Here is a 26705-nt window from a genome sequence, read left to right on the forward strand (position 1 = left end):
AGAATCTTTGTTAATAGAGTGGCAGAGTATCTTTGCCATGAGTGGCTAGAATTTCTTTTGATGTTCTTCTTGGAGTATTTATTGCTTTGGTAGAGAATCTGTCTTAAGAAAGTGGTTTTGGGACCGGGTGCAGTGGCTCATGCTTGTAATCCCAGCACTTTGGGAGGCCGAGGCAGGCCGATCACTTGAGTCCAGGAGTTCGAGACCAGCCTAGGCAACATGGTGAAACCCTGTCTCTACAAAAAATACAAAAATTAGCTGGGTGTGGTGGTATGTATTTGTATTCTCAGCTATTCAGGAGGCTGAGGTGGAAAGGATCACTTGAGCCGGGGAGGTTCAGGTTGCAGTGAGCTGTGATTGCATCTCCGGCCTGGGCAACAGAGCAAGACCCTGTCTCAATAAATAAATAAATAAATAGGCCGGGCGCTGTGGCTCATGCCTGTAATTCTAGCACTTTGGGAAGCCGAGATGGGTGGATCACCTAAGGTCACGAGTTTGAGACCAGCCTGGTCAACATGGTGAAACCCCATCTCTACTAAAAATAAAATCAGCTGGGCGTGGTGGCGTGTGCCTGTAATCCCAGCTAGTTGGGAGGCTGAGGCAGGAGAATCGCTTGAACCCAGGAGGCAGAGGTTGCAGTGAGCTGAGATCGTGCCACTGCACTCCAGCCTGGGTGACAAGAAGAAAACTCCATCTCAAAAAATAAAATCTGGCATGGTGGCTCACACCTGTAATCCCAGCACTTTGGGAGGCTGAAGCGGGTGGATCACCTGAGGTCAGGAGTTTGAGACCAGCCTTGCTAACATGGTGAAACCCTGCTTCTACTAAAAATAGCAAAAATTAGTTGGGCGTGGTGGCGCACACCTGTAATCCCAGCTACTTGGGAGGCCGAGGCAGGAGAAATGCTTGAACCCGGGAGGCGGAGGTTGCAGTGAGCCAAGATCATGCCATTGCACTCCAGCTCGGGCCACAAGAACGAAACTCCATGTCAAAAATAGAATAGAATAGAATATAGAATATAGAATAGAATAGAATAGAGTGGTTTTGAGTAAAAGTATACCCTGTTTTTCTTTTATAACTTTCTTTTATATGTGGGATGATTCATAACTGACTTGATTGAATACTAAGTTATTTTTTTATTATTGCTGTTAGACTTCTCCAAATACATTTCTTTTTCTTTTTCCAGGTTTTAATGGTACGGTTCGCATCATTATTTGATGCAAAGGAACGTACTGTCACCTTTTTAAGTGGAAAGAAATATAGTGTGGATGATTTACACTCAATGGGAGCAGGGGATCTGCTAAACTCTATGTTTGAATTTAGTGAGAAGCTAAATGCCCTCCAACTTAGTGATGAAGAGATGAGTTTGTTTACAGCTGTTGTCCTGGTATCTGCAGGTAAGCAAGCTGGTTCAAAATTGTGCCACACCTAGCATATAGTGACCAACTGGGGAGAAGATGGCAGTTAACAGGGTTCCAGAAAGTTATATAGAGGGAATAAGGCCTTAAGGAAGATGCTAAATTGTATGACCCTGTTATTTTTGTGTAACTAATTTTTTCGTTATAACAATATATGTCAAAGTACTATAGGAATAAAGTAATACTTACATCTAGGCCTTGTGTTTACCACTGTTAGTCTTTAGCTTTTTGTTCATAATTTTTCTATGAGTCTAAATCTTTATTTCATGAATTTGTTAGAACATTATGTATCTCCAGGTAGGTAGTTGTAATATGAATTTCAGTTTCCATTCAAATACAATGTGGGTTACTTGAAAACATTAAAAGTATCAAGAGGTATTAGTGTGGTTTGTTGCAGAGAAATGTGAATTAGTTGTAGGCTTTAGTCCAGTTCTGCCATTGAATTATGTGGGTAACTTGGGTAAGTAACTTTACTCTTTTGGGTCTTGGATTCCTTCCTCATCCTGTCAAAGGAAGGGGTTGTACCATGTGAGCCTAGTGTGGTGTCTGGCATAGAAGAGCTACTCAGTCACTGTTTGAATGAGTGAGCAAGATTTTTGAGTTTCTAATGTTTATTTATATGAGTCATTTATGATGTTTCCCAATGCCCCTGCCATCTTGCATTAATATTACAGTTATTTCTGACAGTACCCATTAAGGCAGAGATTGTTACTCCCAATAACAAATGGAAATTGAGGTACTTTCCTGGGTATGTCTAAGTAAGTGCCAGCTATTTTTAGGCATCATTTTATTGTATAACATTTGGGAATTTTTTAGTATTTGGTTATGACTTTGTTTCCCATTTGCTTCCTACTGTGTAAAGGGCACTGTGCTAGGCATTGTGAGAGTTATAAGTTACGGCCTCTGATTATGTAGCTAAACCATAAATTAGTAGCTCTTGAAAGAGAACAAGTTCTTGGCCAGGCGCCAGGGGTGCACGCCTGTAATCCCAGCACTTTGGGAGGCTGAGGTGGGTGGATCACCTGAGGTCAGGAATTTGAGACCAGCCTGGCCAACATGGTGAAACCCCCTTCTCTACTAAAAATACAAAAATTAGCCGGGCATGGTGGCACGTGCCTGTAGTCCCAGCTACTCAGGAGGCTGAAGCAGGAGAATCGCTTGAACCTGGGAGGCAGAGGTGGCCGTGAGCCGAGATCACACCAGCTTGCATTCCAGCTTGGGTGACAGAGCGAGACTCCGTGTTAAAAAACAAAAACAAAAACAACAAAAAAAAAACAAGTTATTTGTATAATTTTGAGGACCTGTACCTCAGTGGAATAAAGACTTGCCATTTGGTAACATAATTTGGCTACCTTTTCTGACCAGCTCTACCTGGATAACTAAAAATGTGTATATGACGTGGGAGTAGTATGAAAGGAATATGTCAATAAGGGATATCTGTTTTATAGCTAATTTATAATGCCTCTTGCATTTTACCTATCATTTGCAGAATCTCTTGATAAGTAATTAGTATTGGTTTGAGTTGACATCAGATTAATCGATTATTTTGAAACCACAGATAATCAATACTTGTTAAATTATTTATCTGATGAATATGCCGTACCTATTAGGTGCTCAGGGGGAGACAGAAAGCTTTAAGGCACAAGCTTGCTAAGTGTTTTCATTCTTTTTGGAGAGATGAAACTACACAAAGAGCTTTATGCTACTAAACCGTGTAGTTCTCTGTCTGAGGTAAGCTGGAGTTGTAGAAAGGAAGGTGAAATCATCTTGGAAGGCTCTGTGGGGAAAGATAGAAGTGGAGCTGGAATTTGAAGGTTGAATTATTAAGCTTTCCCAGTGAAGAAGAGATGGAAAGGCATGAGAGAGTACGAGATAGGGCCGGGGAAGGGTCAGGTGGCCAAAGCCTGGAGTGTACATCAAGGAGGAAGGGGGACAAAAGCCTTCAGAGTTAGGGGAGCACCAGGTTATGGACTAACAGCTATGAGAACTAAGCGGGGAGATTTTAACCAAAATATGGGGCAGAAGAAAGTCTGTGTACCTTCTTAAGTAGGAGAGTGATCTGGTTGAACAAAGTGATGTTTAACATTAATTCTGCATTTTTATTGTGGTGGGCAGATTAGATAGGTAAGTCATTAGTGCTAGAGAGTTAGGTTGAGAAGCTTTTGAAATGACATCAGGTGGGGTGAACTCTTCTAAAATAAATTAAGGCAGGTGAGATGAAGTAGAAGGGCCAACTTCCCAGAGGTAGTTCAGAGGAAGAAATGATGGCAAAGGGGTAGAGGGAAACTCTGTATGCCAGGAACGAACCTTGTTATTTCAGGATAGGAACATGATTTTTAGTTTGATTTAATCTGTTTTTGAAAAAGCCTTTTTTCTGATTATAAATTTAATATGGGTTCTTTGAAAATGTAGAAAATATTAAAATGGAAAAAAAAGGTTATAATATCACTACCAGAAAAGATCACTATTAATATTGGGGAGTCTTTATCCATTTACCTATCCATCTATCCATTCGCCTATCCATCTATCCATTTACCTGTTTGTTTATATAGGATATATTTTAAAAATGGAAAATTAAGTGTGAAAGACTGATTGTAAAAGAATACAGTGCATTCTAATTTTTGTTATGTCACTGTATGAACATATACAAGTACACATATATGAAGTTTCATGTCAAATTTTAATCCTTACCACTTAAAAATTACTAGCTGTTTTTTGTTGTTGTTGTTGTTTGTTTTTTTATTTTTATTTTTGGAGATGGAGTTTCTCTCTTGCTGCCCAGGCTGGAGTGCAATGGCATGATCTCTGTTCACCGCAACCTCCCTCTCCTAGGTTCAAGCAATTCTCCTGCCTCAGCCTCCTGAGTAGCTGGGATTACAGGCATGCACTACTACACCCAACTAATTTTGTATTTTCAGTAGACAGGGGGTTTCTCCATGTTGGTCAGGCTAGTCTCGAACTCCCAACCTCAGGTGATCCGCCCGCCTCGGCCTCCCAAAGTGCTGGGATTACAGGCATGAGCCACCGTGCCCGGCCAAACAGCAGCATAAATTACTAGCTGTTTTTAAAGCAGTATCTAGGCAGGAAAATGAAATTCAAACGCTACAGAAGAGTTTAAAATGAAAAGTCTCTGCTTTTTTCCTCTTTCCTCCACCCCAGCCTTATTCCTCAGAAAACTGGATTTCTTAACACCCTTCTTTTTAATTTTCTGGTTGTTGACCACCCAACTCTGAATATAATGCTTATATCTCTATACCTATTTTTTTTTTTTTTTTTTTTGAGACAGAGTCTTACTCTGTCACCCAGGCTGGAGTGCAGTGATCTCAGCTCACTGCAACCTCTGCCTCCCAAGTAGCTGGGATTACAGGTGCCCAACACCATCCTCAGCTAATTTTTGTATTTTTAGTAGAGACAGGGTTTCGTCGTGTTGGCCGGGCTGGTCTTGAACTCCTGACCTTAGGTGATCCACCCTCCTCGGCCTCCCAAAGTGTTGGGATTATAGGCGTGAGCCACCGTGCCCAGCCTATACCTCTTTTTATTTAGTGAGTATAACTTATAAATAAAAGTATCCTTCCTTTTCCCTCTCAATTTTTTTATGTTTTATTTTTTAATTTACTTTAATGGTTTTGTTGGTAATTTTAATATACTCACAGTTTTTGACCTTATACATAATGTCTTTTGGATAGTTTAGATAGAATCTCTTAATTGTTCAAAGACAGTTTTTTCTTTGTACTCTGACTTCGCTGTAACATTCCTTTTATGTAGTCAATTAAAACATTTATATCTTGTTCTATCACTGTTTGTCATGATTTGATCAGTCAATTCCCAAAGTTGAAAAGTTGAAAGTCAGCATTTATGGTATTATGATTATGTAAATAGTACTTACAGTGTTCACACAGTGAGGTTGAAATGGTAAAGAATAATGGAAACCTCTTCTCCAAACCTCTGCACCTTGAATCAGGGAACAAATGGATAGTTTATTTCAGTTCTCTATTAATTGTTTAGAATTAAGTAACATAGTTTGCTTTATCTTTAAAATAGCTTTTTCTTCTTGGAAATGTATAGTGGTCTTCTTTTGTTGTTTTTGGGTTGTCAGAAGAAATGGTAGTTAATTTCTATATCTCATTATATTACTTTATCCTCACAGTAGATCCCTGTGAGCTGGGACATGTTATTCACAGTTATACAGACAAGGGATTTGAGGAACAGAGGGATTAAGTAATTTACCCAATGTCCATTTTTAATTACTGGCTAAGCAAGTATTTGAACTCCCATTAGTCTGGCTTCAAAGCCTTTCCATTATACTGCTTGTTAACAGAATAGCTCTAGCTGCTAAGGGGGAGAAAAATCTCAAACATGATGTTTGCCTGTAAGATTGGAAGAATCCTAGTATCATGGAAGGGGAATTATACCTGGAAGGTAAGTTTCTTTTCAGGTTGTTTAAAGTAACAGCAGCCACTTCCAGTTGAAGATTAAGGACTTGCATGTAGGTGTGAGGTCAAGGCTCATTTACATACAGACTTCAGTTGTCTTCATAGAGATTTTTGTTGAAGGTTTGACTTTCATCCTGTAGGAAGTGAAAATAAATAGAATATTTGGTGAGGAGTACAAGCTTGGGAGTGCAATGAAGAACCAGCTAAGGAGAGAGAAGATAGAAGTGTCATAAATTAAACTCTGCAGTACTAGTGTAGCATTTAGTACACCATTTAGAAGATGAATTTCCACTTCAACATGTGTACTCTTAACATTATAGTCTCCAGAAGATTGTTTACCATCCAGCCAGGTTTGTACCTTAGGTTCTTTGGCCTTGAAATCTTAAAAACCATGGTTTTAGAAATGGAGGCTTTAGAAAAATTTAATACAATCTATGGTTTTAGATATAGGCATCCATTTCCCTGAAGTTCTGAGTTGTATAACGAAGCATAGGTCATCTAAACACAAAATAGCCACTGAAAGACCAACAACTTCAAACATTTTTAAATTTTTTGTGTGACTTCCTACACCTGTCCAACCAACTACTACTAATACTAGTTCCCACTCAGGTATCTTCCCAACTTATCAGTTGTTTCTTTCTTTGCCCACCTAGATTATTTTGTTTGTGGGGATTACTGTCATTCTTTCTCAGTTTTCGGTATTATAAATTACTAATCATATGATTGAAACCAGAGTCATGCGTCGCTTAATGACGTAAATATGTTCTGAGAAATGCATTGTTAGGCAATTTTGTCATTGTGTGAACATCATAGAGTGTACTTACATAAACCTAGATGGTATATCCTACTACACACCTGGGTTTTATGGTATAGCCTATTGTTACTAGGGTACAAACCTGTACACCATGTTACTGTGCTGAGTACTGCAGGCAGTTTGTAACACAATAAGTATTTGTGTATCTAAACATATCTAAACAAAGAAAAGGTACAGTAACAATAGATATGAAAGATAAAAGCTGGTATACTTGTGTAGGGCATTTACCATGAATGCAGCTTACAGGACTGGAAGTTGCTGTGGGTGAATGAGTGAGTGCATCGTGAGGGCATGTGAAGGCCTAGGATATTACTGTATATGACTGTAGACTTAATCACTGAACACGTACGGTACACTAAATTTATTAAAATTTTTTTTTCTTCCATAATAAATTAACCTTAGCTTGCTCTGTTTTACTTTATAAACTTAAATTTTTAAAAGCTTTTTGAGTCTTGTAGTAACACTTAGCTTAAAACAACACATTGTACAGCTATACAAAAATATTTTCTTTATATCCTTATTCTATAAGCTTTTTTCTATTTATAATTTATTTATTTACTTCTTAAACTTTATTGTTAAAAACTGTGACAGACACATACATTAGCTTAGGCCTACACAGGCTCATCATCATCAATATCACTGTCTTCCACCTCCACATTTTGTTCTACTGGAAGGTCTTCAGGAGCAGTAACATGCATGAGCTGTCATCATCTATCACCTTCTATATTTCTATGATAACAATGCATTCTTCAGGAATATCTCCTGAAGGACCTGCCTGAGGCTGCTTTACAGTTACCTTTTTTTTTTTTTTTTTTTTTTTTTTAAGTAGAAGGGACGGGCGAGGTGGCTCATGCCTGTAATCCCAGCACTTGGTGAGGCCCAGGCTGGTGGATCATTTGAGTTCAGGAGTTCTCAAAAAATGAAGTAGAAGGACTATACTGTAAAATAATGATAAAAAGTATAGTATAGTAAATACTTAAATCAGTAATATAGTTGTTTACTATTATTAAGTGTAATAGGTTTGCTTACCCCAGCATCACTATAAACGTGTTAGTTATGTGTTGTGCTATGATGTTACGACAACAAAAGCTGCAACGTCACTGGGCGATAGGAATTTTTCAGCAACATTATAATATTATGGGACCACCCTTTTATATGTGGTCTGCCATTAACTGAAACATTGTTACGTGGCACATGACTATTTTCCTCTGTCAGAATGTAAGCTCCTTAAAGGCATTCTTGTTTTGTTCACCGCTGATTTCCAAGCACCTTAGAACAGTAACCAGTACATATGTTTAATAAATGTTTGGCAAACGATTTCATCAAGTGAAATAGTGTTTTTTTTAAAAAAACCATTACTTGAATATCAAAGGCAAGAGGGACTCTTCAAATCATTACTGAAGGCTTTATTTTTATGAAGATAATTTATGATTGACCAAAGTTAAATGTCAAGAGAAAGAGGTCTCTGCCAGTAGTTTTGTCTGAAAAATTGTGACCCTCCCCCTACCCCCACAAACCAATATCCAATTTTTTTTTTTTTTTTTTGAGACAGGCTCCCACTCTGTCACCCAGGCTGGAGTGCAGGGGCATGATCTCGACTCACTGCAACCTCCATCCCCTGGGTTCAAGTGATTCTTGAGCCTCAGCCTTCCAAGTAGCTGGGATTACAGATGCCAATCACCATGCCCGGCTAAATTTTGTATTTTTAGTAGAGACGAGGTTTCACCATGTTGGCCAGGCTGGTTTCAAACTCCTGATCTCAGGTGATCTACCTGCCTTGGCCTCCCAAAGTGCTGAGATTACAGGAATGAGCCACCACGTCCTGCCCAACATTCTTTTTATTTTTTGAGACAGCATCTCGCTCTGTCACCCAGACTGGAGTGCAGTGGAATGATCGTGGGTCACTGCAGCCTTGACCTGGGTTTAAGTGATCCTCCCACCTTAGCCACCCAAGTAGCTGGGACTACTGGCATGTGTCACCATGCCCATTCAATTAAATTTTTTTTTTTTTTTGTAAAGACAAAGACTCACTATGTTGCTCAGGCTGGTCTCAAACTCCTAAGCTCAAGCAATCCTCCTGCCTCGGCCTTCCAAAGTGCTGGAATTCCAGGTGTGAGCCACCATGCCTGGCCTTTTTTTCCAAATAAGAATTAACATATAGTTGTAATGTTCAAATTTTGTTAAATATGAGATAAACTGGCCAGGTGCAGTGGCTTATGCCTGTAATCCCAGCACTTTCGGAGGCCGAGGCGGGTGGATCACAAGGTCAGGAGTTCAAGGCCAGCCTGGCCAAGATGGTGAAACTAAAAATACGAAAATGAGCCAGGTGTGGTGGTGGGTGCCTGTAATCCCAGCTACTCAGGAGGCTGAGGCAGATAATTGCTTGAACTCGGGAGGCAGAGGTTGTAGTGAGCCGAGATCGCACCACTGCATTCCAGCCTGGGTGACAGAGTGAAACTCCATCTCAAAAAAAAAGATAAAACTTATTTTTATCATTCTTCTGCATTTAGAGTTAATCAAATTTTTCTTTTTTTGCCCTTTACTATTAAATTTTAGTCCTTGTTTTAAGTGCTTTCATGGCAAATGACCTTTTTCAGCTATCACTTATAATGGAAGACCTCCTCAATATCCTTGTAAAAAAACGAAAGGGCATGAATGGCCAGAAGTTTTGATTCCTTGTAGAAGTTAGAAATCTTTTTCTTGTTAATTACAACCTCCCATGTGGGGGACCATTGAATATTTTTGTATACTCCTGCCTCCTGTTGTAAAGGGAAAAAAATACTCTTGCTGATGAAAACATCTATGGGTGATCTACATAGGTTTGCCTGATTTTAAGATACTTTATTGCAGGCTTATGCCAAATGACTGGTTTATAAACATATTGTATGACAAATTTAATAAACACAATATGCTAAATGAAAGTGAATGTAGGGTTACATAGCAATAAAGTTGCATAGTGTATTAGTTACCTATTACTGCATAACAAATTGTCCCAAAATTCAGGGGCTTACAAATGCAAACATTTATTTAATCTCACAGTTTTTGAGGGTTAAGATATGATATGAGAGATAGGATATGATATGTGCCTCTGACTCAGGGTTTCTTAGGAGGTTATAGTTAAGCTGTGGACAGGGCTGTGGTCTCATATGAAGGCTTGAGTAGGGAAGGATCTGCTTTCAGTTGTATGTAGTTATCGGCAAGATTGAGTTCCTTGCAAGCTGTTGGACTGAGCACCTCAGTTGCTTGCTGACTGTTGGCTAGAGCCCACTCTTAGTTCCTTGCCATGTGGGCCTCTCCACAGGGTGGCTCACAGCATGGCAGCAGCTTTTCTCAGAGTAAGTGAGCAAGAGCGTACCTAAGATGGAGGCCACAGTTTCTTGTAAGCTAATCTCAGAACGGACATCCTATCAATTCTGCCATATTTTTTTTCATTAGAAGTTAGTAAGTCTAGGTCCACTTAGTAGGAGGAGGTTGCGCAAGGGTGCGAATACCAGGATGAAGGGATCATTGGAGGCCATTTTAGGGGCTGCCTACCACACATGGTGACATACAAATGGGAGTGTATTCCATATGTATTGAAAATATGTTTATATACTACATTATTTTATTTTGCTAATTAGAAGCAGTTGAAATCAGATGACATCTAATTTTAAAAAGTCAGAACCTCTATGTTCTTGTGAATAAAAATTCTTAACAGTAAAGAATTTTGATTGATCAAATGTTTTATGTGATATATATGCTTTATAATATAGTAACTAGCTAACGATTTGTTACTGAGATTTTGAGAAATTTGTCAACTTTTGCCTTTATTCAGATGTATAAAACCTTGCTTTCTATTCGTTAGTGACACTGATAAGCAAGAATTTTATTTATATTTAATGTTAATAATTTATCCTGTTTTTCCTATTTCCCTATTCCTGATCTCTCTTAGATCGATCTGGAATAGAAAACGTCAACTCTGTGGAGGCTTTGCAGGAAACTCTCATTCGTGCACTAAGGACCTTAATAATGAAAAACCATCCAAATGAGGCCTCTATTTTTACAAAACTGCTTCTAAAGTTGCCAGATCTTCGATCTTTAAACAACATGCACTCTGAGGAGCTCTTGGCCTTTAAAGTTCACCCTTAAGGCCTTTGTTTATTTAAACATGAACTGATGGTAACTGTACATTTTGTGCTAAAATGCATATTTATATGTGTATACCATATGTGGAGATAGAAAAGACCTTTAAGACAATAAAAGATTGTAGGCTATCTCTGTAATCATGCAATAGCTGTTCGGATTGAGAACTCTTCAGCCATGATTAGACGTTGACTGCATCTCCCTGATAGACCAATCAGCTGTGTCGCACTTAAACTGGAGAAGTTACACTGAAGTATAATCACACTGAATGTTAGACTTTTTCATCTGCCAAAACCAAAAACCATTTTGATCTCCCTGTGGTTATCAATATAACGCACAATCACAAGTGTATGAGGACTTAGAAATTAATCCTTTGTGGTAGGAGTTCTGTTGAATGATGGAAATCTTATTACTACCACAAGACTATTTGATCTGGTAATTGGAGACTTCGGGATTTAGGAGATCTCCATGTCTGTATTTACTCTACCACTGCTAAAGTGTGTGGTCCTGGGTAGTTTACTTGCTTGCGGAAAATGAGAATTGATGGTGTCCCCAATGCCCCACCTCACAGAGTTACTAAAAAATGTCTGTAAAGCATATTTACCTCTTGGGAGATAGGCACTATGTAAATAAGGTAAAATTTCTGTTATTACAATTATTCATAATAATATTCTTTTCTTATTTCTAAGCCTTTCTGGGAAATCATTTCAGTCCACACCAACCATATTATTCAGGGTTCCTGCCATATGTGTGGGGTATCCTACTGATACACACGTATTCAAAGTTTATGGGTACAACAAAGACATAGTACATGTACATAATATGTATGTGAATATAGTTAAATATATTTCTTCACAATATTTTAAACTGTGAAGAACTTTATCATACAGGAAACTTAAAACAAGAGGTGTCAAAAGACCCAAATTAGGTGCATTTTACTTGTTTATGATGGCATAACCATTGCTTTAAAATGTTTAGACAGTAGAATATTGAATTTATGCTCTATTTTTGTTTATTTAAGCAACACTTAATGTAAAAGTGCAACAGGCAATTGAATCCAAATTTCAACGACAAAAAAAAAAAACATGTATTTTAGAGTTCATCTTTGGCAAAATCTTTGGTTCAGGGTACTAGTTGTTTAAAAGTTGATTCATATTCTTACCTTGTGCTGAGAAAGGTTGCATTGCTGCCCCTTATACACATGCTGCAGCTTGATGTTAAAGAATTTTTATTCTTTCTGAAGAACTAATTAATGTTTAAAGCAACTGTTTAATATGATGGCATGTGTGTGTGTGCGTGCGTGTGTATGTTCTGAGTCCACTTCTTTTTTCCTAAATAACACTACAGGGATTTTGTCATATTAGATTTAATTTATAATTTGAAAAATCATCTAGTGTGTGACCTACAGGCTTAGAAATGGTATAGTCAAAGACATTTTATCCACATTTCTAATAGTGGACTTGATTAAGTAGATAAGATCAGCATCTGTTTATGGTAGTAGGAGAAATAGCCAAAGTTGAGGATTTTATGTATGTTTTCCTGTTTACCTGGAAAATAGCAATTAATTGGATTTTTTGGTAAAGATTGCCTTCTGTATAATGTTTGGATTATATAAAATTGCAAAAATGATAACAGCCCGCTTTACTGTACTAAGCCTGTTACTTTCATGACGTGTGAGCAGAATGCCTTATTTTGTAATCTTGTTTAACTTGTTGCTACTGGGACTTGATTTACTGTGGCACTAGTTAAGTAAGTTAAAAAAAAGTTAAACCCTCTCATTATTAAAGAGGAAAGGCGATGGTGATGTCTGTAGTACAATATAAACCATAATTGTGATTTACCTTAAGTAGGTATAACTCTTATGGGATATACAGTATAGTTTTTGTGAATCTTTACATGATAGCATTATCTTTTTATAATTTTTTTTCCTAAGATAAACAAATGCATAGTTTTCTTCTATGGGTGATAGAAACAGCTTTTTGAAGTAATGAAAACCTCAAAAGATCATGTTGATTCTTAATTTTTGCCTTTTGCATAAGCCTCTTTATAACATGTATCTTTAAAACAATTAAGTCTTTAGGAATGTGTAACCAGAACTATGTTAGTATTGCTTATAAAACTTTAGTTAGGTTCAATATATACATATATACATCTCTATATAGGTATATAGATTTGCATTTTGTCTTGTAAAATTTTATTTGAATAAATTCTTCCTGTAGGTAATGGGAAACAAAATTAATAGTTCATATGTCACTCATAGCATTTCTATATTTGAAAGTAGCCCAATATAAAACTTTTGATTCTAAAATTAAACCAGCAGCCTATTACAAGCACATTCTTTGATTGAGTCATTGGTTATAAACTTACTAAATGCAGAGAAAGCAGCCAATTTAGGAAACTTCTGAGTTGGTGGGACACTGTTGATTAATAATGTACTGTATGAATTAAGTGATGCTTTAACTTTGATTTTACATTTTAAAGTTAAAATGTGGGCATTATGTCAGCAAACTTAAGGGCATTATGTCAGCAAGCTAAAACATTTTTTTTCCTGTGCTTTTAATGTATCTCTTTACATGATCTGAGAGAGGATTCAAGTTGATAGAAATAGCTGAGGGGAAAAGGGGGAACATCTTGGGATGAAGCTTGTCCTTATGGTGATGGTTTAATTACAGATTAAAAAATTAGAAGGAAATTTCAGTGGATTAAGTGTATAGCTTTCATATCTACATTTCAAGAAATTACCATTGTAACTTGATAAGAGATGATTTATTTTATGTAAACATCTTTGCAAAGCAAGGTGTAGCAGCTCAGCTAGATTTATTACTGTGCACGAAAGTAAATACCTATCTCAATTATTCTTTTTCTTTTCCAATATAAAGTTTGCTGAATGTACAAGAAGAGTTTATCACTTAGGATATAGAATTTTTTTAGGGGTTGGGGGAGGGGATCTGTTAGGAAACTGTTACCTATAAACAAAGATTGACTGGATTCGATCCAAAAGATAAAACTTGAAGCTATTCTGGAACTAACATGGAAAAATGAAATGGCTATTGTTTAAAAAAATGATAGAAATACATTGTTGATGGGATATGAGTTAAGTTTATTTTCTACAAACTGTAATTGATGAGGACATGGATAATATCTTCATGTTTCTGAGAAGTAATCTGTATGTGGGGGGAGGGGATAATAAATATTTCTAACCAACTGTGGTGTTTGGTGTCTAATCTACCTTGCCTTTTTTGTAAAACTAATAATTTAACTCACTACAAGTATCTTTCCCCTGAGCATAGCAGGATGTTTTATGTAAATCTCTGATTCAGCATGGGGAAATGTGTGTATATGTATATATGTGTGTGTGTGTATATACACACATATATATGTATATGTGTATATATGTATGTGTATATATATATATGTATATATACATGCACACACACACACAGGGCTTAAAAAAAGATTTTAGAGTTGAGATTCTGGCAAGGACTGTTGCTATTTTCTATAATGCCAACTGAGTAATGGTTCGTTGTGTCTAATAAGGTAGTCTTTCTAGGTAGGAGATGTGAGAGAGGAATGGGGTACTTGATATAACCAGAAATCACCCTTGGCCATGAATGGAGTGCACCTCAGCAAGACCACTAGCTTCTTTTTCTTTTCCTATCAGTTGTTCCCATGTTGGCAAAATTAAGATAGCTACTTAAATCTCCATTGTTTGCAGTAATATTGTTAGGCAATCTTGGGGGTGTTGCTTTTCTAGCTGGAAACCTGTAGCTGGTGGCACCTTTGCCTGAGATTTGCTCGGGCCCACTGGGCTTGTTCCACCCACTTGGCCTGGCAGGCTGTACCCAGCTCACGCTCCTGGCCTGGATCCCACGCCTCCAAGGGAGACTGTGAGTCAGGCATGGAGCAGCAAGGGGTGTGTGAGCGAGCGTGGGGTCCAGCTACTGTGCAGACACATCAGCTGCTGCCATGGGATAGACATCTCCAGGTGCAGGCTCTCTGCGAGGCTGCAGCTGGACCAGGTGCACCATGAGCAGCTTTCCCAGCTGGCACCTGGGAATGCAGTGGTGGCCGGAAGGCTGAAGATGCCAGGAACCACAGGGCTCCAAAGAGGGAATCACAGCCTTGGCTTGGGGCGTTCCCAGGTGTGACGTCCCTGAAGGGCTGGCTGCAGCTTTTCTCTCCTTCACCCACAGCGTGGTGAGCAAGGGGCATGTTTCAATCCTATTTGTGTTACAACTTTTAGCTTTGCCATTCAGTGGGTCCCAAGTTCTTGTCCTGCAACCAGGAAGAATGAGGTACACAGATGAGTGGAGGGTAAGATGAAGAGGAGCTTTGTTGAGCGATAGAATAGCTCAGAGGGGACCTGCAGTGGGCAGCTCCTTTCTGCAGCCAGGGGTATCCCAATGAGTGTTTAGGCCTAGCAGAGAGGAGACCCTGGAGTGGGAAGCACCTTGTTGTGGGCAGGTTGTCATCCCACTCTCTGGAGCTCTCAGCAGAGGGGAGACCCTGGAGTGGGTGGCTGCTCTCTGCAGGCAGGTCATCTTGTCATCTCTGCAGCTCTCAGCAGAGAAGGTAGTTCCTCTCTACAGCTGGCCATCCCTTGGTCTCCCCATCCTCTCAGCAGAGAGGAGGCCCTGGAGTGGGTAGATCCTCTCTGCAGCTGGTCATCCCTACCTTTTCCCCAGCTCTGACTCAGCCTAGGGATTTTATGGGCCTCGGAGAGGAGGAAGTGCATGCTGATTGGTCCACGGGCAGCCATGGGTGGGCCTGGAAAAGGCACCACAAGTTTCCACTCTGGTCTGCAGGGCTGGCGGCTCAGTTGCCAGCATTCAGGCCCTCTGTAGCCTGAAGGTGGGGCCTCACTGGGGACCCGCCTCCTTCTGCCCAGGAACCCGTCTGTCTCTTGCTGCTGTTCATGACCCCAGGACTTGGCCCCAACTTTGCTCCAAGGTCGGAGTGAGTGCCAATAGCAGGGGGAACAGGCACTTCTGAGCCTGTGAGGGCAGGGCCAGTGAGGGGGCCTTCCTCGTGCCCCCAAGAGTGCAGGGTGCTTGAACCCCGGTGGAGGAGGCTTCAGTGAGCCGAGATTGCACCACCAAACTCTGGCCTGGGCAACAGAGGGAGACTCCGTCTCAAAAAACATCAACAACAAAAACAGTGCAGGGATGTTTGGGCAGCTGCAACTGGACCCAGATGGGTGGGCCTCCCACCGGCTTTATGGAGCATGCAGCCCTGGAGGCACCTCCTTGCTGCAGCTGGTGTGATGCAGCCATGGGCCGTCTGGAGCAGCTTCTGCCATAAATATCCACTGTGTTTCTGTGGATGTTAATTGATGTTAGGTGGGAAAAATGGGCTCCTTGATCAAGTAAGTTTGGAAATGCTGGGTTAAACAAGGTTACTGAGATGTCTCCATGTCAGTCCTGTTCTGCAGTGAGGCAGTGTGCATTGTGAATCCTTTAAGGAAGGGTTTAATGGGATGCAATTTTCATCAAACTGTCTTCCCTAAATAACCCCTTTGCCTTTTTTTTTTTTTTTTTTTTTTTTTTTTTTTTTTTTTTTCCTGTGCTGAGCACTTGTTGGGACTCTTAAGAAAGACAGCTTTTAGGAGAAAAAGGCTTGTTAACCTTATACCCATTTTGGGTGTTGATCAGGATGTTGATCGAATTCAGTGCATTATTGCACAAATTTAATTTTATTTTGTCCCCTTCTTTGCACAGTTTAATAAGCAAGCTCCAAGTAAATGTGTGGTTGATGGAAAACAAAATGGATTAAATTCCTTGTGAAATTGAGGAATGCTGTCTGTGAATACAGGAATAAAGATAATCACTTCACAGATCTGGTTTTAGTTTTTACTCTAGATTGGGTCTGTGTTAAAATTTGTTATGTTTGATTTTTTTTTATTCTCTGTCTATGTAAAAGCTTAGAAACAGCTGTGGCATGTGTGTTAGTAGCCACATCAGTGTTGCTCTTCGCTGTGTAAGAGTTGGTTGCTGTGGGGTAATTTTTGACACCAGAGTACAAAATCCACTTAGAACAACACTGAATGCAGTGAGTATAGGAGCCCTAAGGGGAAGTCTTGGAGGAAGCTCAGAATCTCTGCAGTTGCTTTAATATGGGGCACATTCCCCAGAATGTAAACATGCTCTCAAAGTTAGCATTTCCCATACTTTTTAATGCAAGTTACTGACAGGGGTGGGATCAGTGTTTTTAAAATGACTCAAAAACAAAATCCGCAGGTGAATATGGTGTTCCTAAAATTTTTCCCCCTATTTTTTCTACTGGAGTCTGCAGAGTCAAATATGATCTTCTTAAAGTCTCTGAAGTCAGTTCTGTATTTTTTTTTCTTTTCTATTGTCTCATATTGCTCTGAACACCTTAACTCCAGCAGTTTTCCCCTTATTATTTTGTTGCTTTGCTTATAAATGCTCATCTGTTTTCTCCCCCTGCAGTAGCTGTTTAATTTCCTGTCTCAATTCTGCAGTTAAATGCAGTTAGGGTCGTTTCCAAAGTGGAAAGTACCTACTTTCATTCTCTTGATCAACTTTTTGTTCTCTACTATGGCTGCTGTTTTCCTAGGCTGTTTTATCTGATCAGATTTTCAATGAATGGACTAATGGTTTAGTCACTTATTATTATTATTATTGTTATTTTTTGAGATGGAGTCTCACTCTGTTGCTTAGGCTGGAGTGCATGGCTCAATCTCGGTTCACCGAAACCTCCGCCTCCCAAGTTCAAGCAATCCTCCTGCCTCAGCCTCCTGAGTAGCTGGGATTACAGGCGCACGCCATTGCGCCCTGAATTCCTGGAAACAGGAATCAGACCTCAGGAGCTCTCACAAGCCAGCTCCGGCATACAAGGTCTACAACAGCAGTGCCTGGCAATTATCCTTCAAAATGCTGGGATTGGTAGCCATTGTGCTCCACGTGCATACAATTCCCCTAACACTGTCTGAATTAGTTGCCCAGCCCTTCATGGAACCTCATTTTGCATTGGATTTTTTTTTTTAATCCTGACACATAGATATTCAATAACTGTGTGCAATTAATAAGTGACTAGGCCAGGCGCCATGGCTCACACCTGTAATGCCAGCACTTTGGGAGGCTGAGGCAGGCAGATCACCTGAGGTCAGGAGTTTGAGACCACCCTGGCCAACATAGTGAAACACTGTCTCTACTAAAAATACAAAAATTAGTGAGGCGTGGTGGTGGGCGCCTGTAATCCCAGCTACTGGGGAGGCTGAGGCAGGAGAATCACTTGAACTCGGGAAGCAGATGTTGCGGTGAGCCGAGATCGCGCCACTGCACTCCAGCCTGGGTGACAGAACGAGACTCCATCTAAAAAAAATAAAAATAAATAAAATAAAAAAATAGGTGATTAGGCCATGAAGGCTCTGCCTCTTTGAATGGATTATAGCGGGATTGGGTTCCTATAAAGGGTGAGTTTGGCCTGACTTCCTCTCTGTTTTATGTGCTTGCTCACCCTTCTGTTATGATGCAGCAAGAAGGCCCTCACCAGATATGGCCCCTCAATCTTGGACTTTGTAGCCTCCAGAACATAAGCTCAATAAACCTCTTTTTTTTATAAATTACCCAGTTTACCCTATTTTGTTATAGCAGCAGGAGTTGGACTAACAGTTCTCTTCTGTGTCAGGCTTCTTCACCCAGCATAATGTTTTTGAGGTTCATTCATGTCATTCGTGTATTGGCAGTTTGTTCCTTTTTATTGCAAGTCATGTTCCATTGTATAGATGCATCATGGTTTATCCATACGCCTATCGAATGGACATCTGGATTGTTTCCAGTTTGGTTATTATGTATAAAGCTGTTAGGAACACTCCTTTGTATTTGCAGTTGCACTGTTTTGTGACTTAACCCTGGTATATAATCTGTGCTAAGTTCTAAGAGTTCAAGAAGCAGTATATAATGGAAAGCATGATAAACGAAAGTAAATCATGAAAAGAATTAATACTTTCTGTATTACTGAAGGAGCAGTGCATCAATTAGAAGGTGCTTAAGCTCTGTCTAAAAGGGAGTTCAGGCAGAGCATAGTGTCTCATCCCTGTAATCCCAGCTCTTTGGGAGGCCAAGGTGGGAGGATTGCTTGAGGCCAGGAGTTCAAGACCAGCCTGTGCAACATAGTGAGCCCTCATCTCTATTAAAATATTTCAGAATTAGCTGGGTTTGGTGGTTTGAGGCTGTACAATGAGCTGTGCACTCACTGTAACCACTGCACTCCGGCCTGGGCAACAGAGCAAGACCCTATCTTTAAAAAAATAAAAATTAAAAAACATGGAGTTCTGTAATAAGGATGCTTATTAATTTTTTTTCCTACACAAGACTTCTAGAGGCAGGACAATTTCAGGCTGGTTCAGTGGCTTCACAAATGCCATAAAAAACACAGGCACCTACCTTACACCCATTAGGATGGCAACTATCAGGAAGAAAAAAAAAACACCAGAAAATAAGTGCTGGTGAGGATGTGGGGAAGTTGGAACCACTGTGCACTGTTGGAGATGTAAGTCAGTGCAGCTGCTGTGGAGGACAGTATGGCAGTTCCTCAAAAAATTAAAAATAGAACTACCATATGATCCAGCAATTCCACTTCTGGGTATATACCCCAAAGAATTGACAGCAGGCTCTCGAAGAGATATTTGTACTCACATTTATAGCAGCATTATTCATAATAGCCAAAATGTGGGAAAACCCCAGATTTCCATAGAAGGATGAATGAATAAACAAAATGTGCTATTATTGAGCCTCAAAAAGGAAGGATATTCTGACACATACTACAACATGGATGCACCTTGAAGACATTGTGCTAAATGAAATAAGCCAGTCACAAATACTGTAAGATTCTACTTATGTGAAGTACTTTGAGTAGTCAAATTCATAGAAACAGAAAGTAGAAAAATAGTTACCAGGGTTTGGGAGGAGGGGGAAAGGGGGAATTATTTCAGAATTTCAGTTCTGCAAGATGAAAAGAATTCTAAACTAAGAGTGGAACTGGCATGTCCCTGACACAAAGAAATGATATGCTTGAGGTGATGGGTACCCCAATTACCCTGATTTGATCATTATACATTATATGCCTGCATCAAAATGACACATGTACCCCATAAATACATACAACTGTTATGCACCCATAATAATTTTTAAGAATTCTTGAGATGGGTTGTACAACAAAGTGATTGTATTTAACACTATTGAAGTGAACACTTAAAAATGGTTAAGATGGGCCAGGCGCGGTGGCTCATGCCTGTAATGCCAGCACTTTGGGAGGCTGAGGCAGGTGGATCATGAGGTCAGGAGATGGAGACCATCCTGGCTAACACGGTGAAACCCCATCTCTACTAAAAATACAAAAAATTAGGTGGGCATAGTGGTGGGCACCTGTAGTCCCAGCTACTTGGGAGGCTGAGGCAGGAGAACGGTGTGAACCTGAGAGGCGGAGCTTGCAGTGAGTTGAGATCGCGCCATTGCACTCCAGCCTGGGCGACAGAGCGAGACTCTGTCTCAAAAAAAAAAAAAAAAAAGTTAAGATGGTAAATTTTATGTTATGTACATTTTACCACAATTAATTAAAAGAAAAGAAGGAACCTAGGAGTTCTGATCCTTCTTTGTCATCCTGTGCCTGTTTCTAATGTTTTCTCTCATGGTTGCAAGATGGCTGCCACAGTTCAGGCATCACAGCAGAGGTACCATTTCCAGATAAGAAGGGCAGAGACCTTCCTCTTGTATGTTAGGGGGGAATCTTTTCCAGAAGGCTCTAGCGGGCTTCACCCTTCAGTTCCTGTTGGCCAGACTGGGTCTCCTGCCTCAAGGGAGCCTGGGAAAGCAAGTATCTAACATTTTTCAGCCTCTGTAGAGAGCAGCGGGCTCTTCCAGAAAGAAGCTGTTGGGGAAAGGCTATTGGGTAGGCCACTGATGTGGTTTGGCTCTGTGTCCCCAACCAGATCTTGTGTCGAATTGTAATTCCCAGTGTTGGGGTAGGGACCTGATGGGAGGTGATTGGATCATGGGGGCGGAATTTCCCCTGGCTGTTCTTGTGAGAGTGAGTTCTCATGAGATCTGGATGTTTAAAAGTGCCTCCCCCTTCACTCTCCACCTCTCCTGGTCCTCCATGGTAAGACGTGCTTGCTTCTCCTTTGTCTTCTGTCACGATTGTGTAAATTTCCTGAGACCTTCCAGCCATGCTTCCTGTATAGATAGCCTGCAGAACTGTGAGTCAATTAAAGCTCCTTTCACCATAAATCGTCTGGTCTCAAGTAGTTCTTTTTTTTTTTTTTAGACAGAGTCTCACTCTGTCGCCCAGACTGGAGTGCAGTGGCGTGATCTCGGCTCACTGCAACCTCTGCCTCCTGGGTTGAAGCAATTCTCCTGCTTTAGCCTCCCAAGTAGCTGGGATTACAGGTGCCTGCCACCACGCCTGGCTAATTTTTGTATTTTTAGTAGAGACAGGGTTTCACTATGTTGGCCAGGCTGGTCTCAAACACCTGACCTCAGGTGATCAGCCTGCCTTGGCCTCCCAAAGCGCTGGGATTACAGGCGTGAGCCACCACACCCGGCCAGTTCTTTTTGTTTTTAATTTGTTTTTTCCCCTTCCTTTCTTTCTCCTTCCTTCCTTCCTTCCTTCCTTCCTTCCTTCCTTCCTTCTTCTCTCTCTCTTTCTTTCTTTTTTTTTTTTTGAGACAGGGTCTCACTTTGTCACCCAGGCTGGAGTGCAGTGGTGTGATCTTGGCTTACTGCAGCGTCGACCTCCTGGGTTGAAATGATTCTTCTACCTCAGCACCCCAAGTAGCTGGGACTACAGGCACACACCACCACGCTCCGCTAACTTTTTGGTAATTTTTATAGAGATGGGGTTTTACCATGTTGCCCAGGCTGGTCTCGAATTGCTGAGCTCAAGTGATCCACCCACCTTGGTCTCCCAAAATGCTAGGATTACAGGTGTGAGCCACCATATTCGGCCTCAGGTAGTTCTTTTTTTTTTTTTTTTTTTTTGAGACCGAGTCTCGCTCTGTCACCCGGGCTGGAGTGCAATGGTGGCATCTCCGCTCACTGCAGTCTTTGCATCCCGGGTTCAAGCGATTCTCGTGCCTAAGCCTCCCGAGTAGCTGGGACTACAGGTGTGCACCACCATGCCCAGCTAACTTTTGTATTTTTAGTAGAGACGGGGTTTCTCCATGTTGCCTAGGCTGGTCTCAAATTTCTGAGCTCAAGTGATCCACCCTCCTTGGCCTCCCAAAGTGCTGGGATTACAGGCCTGAGCCACCACACTCAGCCTCAGGTAGTTCTTTATAGCATTGTGACAACGGACGAATATGGACACCAAGAGTCATCCATATCTTCTACATCGAATAGTAAGGAACAAAGGGTCCTTCTTTGTGAGCTCAGTACTGATGGCCATCATCAGCGGTGACCAGAACAACATCCTGGTTGATAGGAATGCAGGGCCAGATACATGAAGGGCCAGAGCAAAAATAGATGAAGGTCCTCAGTCTGCCTTTGTCCTTTTTCCACTCCTGCCGTTGTCCCCTAGCATGAAGGACCTCTCCAGTGGTGTGCTGGGGCCAGTTCTTACCAGCTCATGAAAGCCAATGTTTCAGGAATTTTGTGAGCCAGTTGACTTCGCATTGGTAGCTTGAGATTGGCCATGGTGGGAGTAGTATTGATTTTATGGAAATCAGTAAATGCTACAGATAGGGCTCCTTCCACCCCTAGCACCCGCCTGCAGCTAAGCCTCTCACGCATAACGGTGGACATCCCAGCTCCTGAGTCCAAGCTGTCTACCTTATCTTTCACACTGTCACCTCCTGAGCCACCCCTTTGGGCCTAGGTCTGCGCACCATGGGCAGTGAGGTCTGCCTGCAGGAGGACCAAGGAAAGAGTCTCAGGGCCTGCCTGGAAGGCCCAGGTCCCTCTGGCCAGGGAATTACATTAATTGGAGCTTGGTCTAGAAGGGGTTCTGGGCTCTGGGAAGGTGTGTCTTCTTGGCTTAGGGCAGGGGCACAGTCAGAGGAGGGCCAGAGTTGGGCCTTCTGTGGCCCCCGTAGCCTGAGTTACAGGGAGGAGAAAAGAGGGAGAATCCTTCTGTCCCCTCTCCCCAACCCTGTGCCTCTGCCTGGATAGGAGAGAAAACCTCCACCCTCATCCATCTGCCTCATTTCCCCATGGATGGAGAATTGCCGGTCTAATATTTCAGAACCCAGGACACTTATTCATGGGCCATGTTTTAGTAGTGGACAAGCTTACTGTGCCTTAAAGCTTAGGGTCTCTGTAAGATACAGCTTTGGTGATTGTGTTCTCCTGCGGGGCAAGCACACCTGGGCAGCATACCGCCTGTGACTGCACCTGGGTGTGAAACTCAGGTTGGAATCATATCCACTTTAGATTCAGGGAGGAGAGAGCATGACGCCTCCTGACTTGAGTTGGCTAGGATTAGATACAGCCTGTATCTTGAATACCTCCTAGTACAGTGGTTCTCAAAGGGTAGCCCTCCAACCATCATCATCATCCCTACCTAGAATGCAGATTCTGGGGTCATACGACAGACCACCTGGATCAGAGGCTGGGGGATAGGGCCCAGCAGTCTGTGTTTTAACAAGTTTTCCAGGTGATTCTGTTCCAACTGAAAGATTGAGAACCACTGCTCTAGAAGAATATAGCTTGGGGCCGGGCACGGTGGCTCATGCCTATAATCCCAGCACTTTGGGAGGCTGAGGTGGGAGGATCACTTGGGGCCAGGAGTTCGAGACCAGCATGGCCAACATAGCAAAACCTCATCTATACTACAAATACAAAAAATTAGCCAGGCGTGGTGGTGCATGCCTGTAATCCTAGTTACTTGGGAGGCTGAGGCACAAGAATTGCTTGAACCTGGGAGGCGGAGGTTCCAGTGAGCCGAGATCTCACCACTGCACTCCAGCCTGGGTGACTGAGTGAGACTCTGTCTCAAAAAAAAAAAAAAAAAAAAAAAAAGAATAGGCCAGGTGCAGTGGCTCACACCTGTAATCCCAGCACTTTCGCCGAGGGGGTTGGATCACCTGAGGTCAGTAGTTCGAGACCAGCCTGGCCAACACGGTGAAACCCCATCTCTATTAAAAATACAAAAAACAAACAAACATAAAAAACAAAATTAGCTGGGTGTGGTGGCAGGTGCCTGTAATCTCAGCTACTGGGGAGGGTGAGGCAGGAGAATCGCTTGAACTGGGAGGTGGAGGTTGCAGTGAGCCGAGATTGCACCATTGCACTCTAGCCTGGGGGACAAGAGCGAAACTCCGTCTCAAAAAAAAAAAAAAAGGATATAGCTTGGTTTATTCATGTGCTGGGGCTGCTGTAACAAAGGACCATGGACTCGGTGGCTTAAACAACAGAAGTTAATTTCTTGACAGTTCTGGAGGCTGGAAGTCTGAGATCAACATGTGGGCAGGGTTGGTTCCTTCTGAGGGCTGTGAGGGAAGGAGCTGTTCCAGGCCTCTCTCCTTGGCTTGCGGAGGGGCCTGTGTCTTCACATTGTCTTCCCTCTAGGGACACCAGTGGGATTGTATTGGGCCCACCTTAATTCTCTCATTTTAATGACCTCTTTGAAGACTCTATCTCTAAATAAGTTTATGTTCCGAGGTACTGGGTGTTAGAATTTCAACATGTGAATTTTTGGGAGGCACAATTCAGCTCATAACACTTGAGAAACCGGGTCACATAAAGATTTCTGTTTTTCTTTCCATTCCCCGTTTGTGAGCTTCTAGAGGTCTTCCTTGTTTTTCTAGTGTCTCACAAATTGCCTAACAGTCTTTCAATAAATGTTATTTAAATTGATTGACTATGGATGGACGCTTATCGATGTTTAATGAGGTTATAATCTTAAAAAATTTTTTGTGTGTGCAAAGTACACTGCCCTAGACTTCATGTGGTCCCAGGCCTTTTACAAGCAAGTCTGATGGACACTGATTGGATGAGGTCCTGTGGTAGGAATCTACCTCATGTTGCTGTAGATTTCTGAATTGCTTAATCCTCCTTTCTGCTTTTGTGCAGTGTGCATGTAGAGTGGGAGAATTCATCTGGGGCCACCAAAGAGGCTTGACGTCTCAACACCCTCAGAAACTTGTTTCTTCTTTTGTGTCTAAGAGTTTTTCAAAAGAAAAAGAAGAAAAGAAATAGCGCTGCTTCATTCAAACATAGTAAAAGATTCTAGGTGTTTGTATTTTTAAGCACTCAAAGCGAGACTGTAATAAGCAGATAATTGTCATTGAGAGGTATCACACTTTATTTGCTAGGGATTTTCTATTGTTGCTTTTCCACTTAATAGACAGTGGAATTACAAGTTGCTATGGAAACCTATCCATTGCCAGTGCTGCCTGGGCCTTAAAGACACAGAAGCCACATTTTGTTTTATTCCATAGAGCTGACATTGTTATAAAACAGAGCAGAGCAAAGTGAATGGTGAATTAGACCAGACATCCTGCTTTCCCCTGTTTCCTCTTCCCTCCCCTCTGTGGTTTCTGTGTTTACCAGGCCCCTGAATTAGCCCAGTGTTAGAAATTGTATAATTTGGTTTCTGGAGTTCTTTCAAGAAAACAACTGCGTATCTGTCTCCTATGCAGTTTTGTGACTTTTGTTGCTGACACGCTGTGGTAGTTGAGAAACTCTGGGGATGGTTGGCACATAACGCAGTTAATCAATTCCCGCTCAAATCTGAGGTTTGACAAATGATAAACTTCTGTCATTTCTGTGACCACACTTCTTTCATTCAGGTGGGACATCAAAAGAAGGCCTCAAAATAACAGAAGACTGAATCTCAAGTCATTTCCAATGGAGGGGAAGCCAGAAGGGCCTGGCAGATCTGGGATCCATCCTAGGCTATGCCAAGAAAATGAATTAGCAGCTCAGCTTGAGGAAACACCGGAAATTCTGGCAACTGCCCTAAATGGATTTTCTCACTCCTTTGAGCTTTGCCCACAGCCACTGAACGCATTATGTTACAAAGCTAATTATATAAGATTTAAGAGCCAAGGGAAGGCTGATTCATTTGATAAGCTAATTTCAGAGCGTAACTTGAGCCTGGATGCATGCGTTGCTTAACAACAGGAATACTTGTTGAAAAATGTGTCATTAGGCGATTTCATCCTGTAAACACCACAGAGTGTACTTACCCAAACCTAGATGGGATAACCTACTACACACCTATGCTGTATGGTATAGTCTATTGCTTCTAGGCTGCAAAGCTGCATAGCATGTTACTGTACTAAATACAGTAGGCAGTTCTGACACAGTGATAAGTATGTGTGTCTAAACATAACTAAATATAGAAAAGGTACAGTAAAAATATGGCATAATCTAATGGGACCACTGTCATATATGTGGCTTTTCATTGATTGAAACATCATTATGTGGTGCATGACTGTACTTCTTGGAGGCATGAGAAGTTAAAGAATAAAACAAAATGTACCCTTAGCTATAGACATTGCAATTACCCTAAGTTTGCTGTCTATGAAAGTTTAGGTTTTAATGGGATATTTCTATTTGTAGTCTCACTTAATTTTTCAGACTTTAGACCATTGTTTAGTGCTGATTTTTATGGCTACTTTATGGGAGCGAGGACTTTCTTTTTTGGAATAAGAAATGCTTTATTTTATTCGGAAGGTGGGATCAACTAATGAAACATTGTTATCCACCCTGGCATTGGGGTGATTTTGGCTTTACCCTGTGACTTCTTTGAGAACTCAGGACAATCCTAGAGCTTCTCGGGTAACCATGTTTATAAAAGCATCCATTTCCGCACTTAGGGAGGCTGAGGCAGGAGGATCACTAGGAGTTCAAGACCAGCCTGGGCAATATAGCAAGAGCACCGCCCCCTCCACCCCCACTGCAATCTCTCCAAAAAATTAAACAAACTAGTTGGGCATGGTGGTGTGCACCTGTA

General features: G+C 41.3%; 1 protein-coding gene across 4 annotated transcripts in view, besides 3 other annotated features; it reads left to right on the plus strand.

Annotated features, from left to right (window-relative positions):
• The window catches only part of NR1D2 (nuclear receptor subfamily 1 group D member 2), a 35332-nt gene extending 21341 nt beyond the window's left edge, over nt 1-13991 (plus strand). For 3 of the 4 annotated variants that reach the window (NR_110524.2, NM_005126.5, NM_001145425.2), the window contains 2 exons: nt 1187-1397; nt 10597-13991. Coding sequence is in view for 3 of the 4 variants with exons in the window: in NM_005126.5 (NP_005117.3) it covers nt 1187-1397; nt 10597-10793 (408 nt within the window). In the remaining variant the exon portion in view is untranslated. The remainder of the gene's footprint in view (nt 1-1186; nt 1398-10596) is intronic. The other variant, XM_006713451.4, reaches the window with a different exon arrangement.
• Nucleotides 2218-2418: a silencer, noted in NCBI's record as "peak4577 fragment used in MPRA reporter construct". NCBI's record gives its function as "represses an SCP1 promoter by STARR-seq MPRAs in K562 erythroleukemia cells {active_cell/tissue: K562}" and the evidence as "EXISTENCE:reporter gene assay evidence [ECO:0000049][PMID:32103011]".
• Nucleotides 15309-15845: an enhancer, noted in NCBI's record as "H3K4me1 hESC enhancer chr3:24023426-24023962 (GRCh37/hg19 assembly coordinates)". NCBI's record gives its function as "activates a minimal SCP1, AML or CMV promoter by ChIP-STARR-seq in primed H9 embryonic stem cells {active_cell/tissue: H9 hESC(primed)}" and the evidence as "EXISTENCE:reporter gene assay evidence [ECO:0000049][PMID:30033119]".
• Nucleotides 15846-16380: an enhancer, noted in NCBI's record as "H3K4me1 hESC enhancer chr3:24023963-24024497 (GRCh37/hg19 assembly coordinates)". NCBI's record gives its function as "activates a minimal SCP1, AML or CMV promoter by ChIP-STARR-seq in naive H9 embryonic stem cells {active_cell/tissue: H9 hESC(naive)}" and the evidence as "EXISTENCE:reporter gene assay evidence [ECO:0000049][PMID:30033119]".

This window comes from Homo sapiens, chromosome 3 (genome assembly GCF_000001405.40).
Source record: "Homo sapiens chromosome 3, GRCh38.p14 Primary Assembly".
In the NCBI taxonomy this organism is placed as follows: Eukaryota; Metazoa; Chordata; class Mammalia; order Primates; family Hominidae; genus Homo; species Homo sapiens.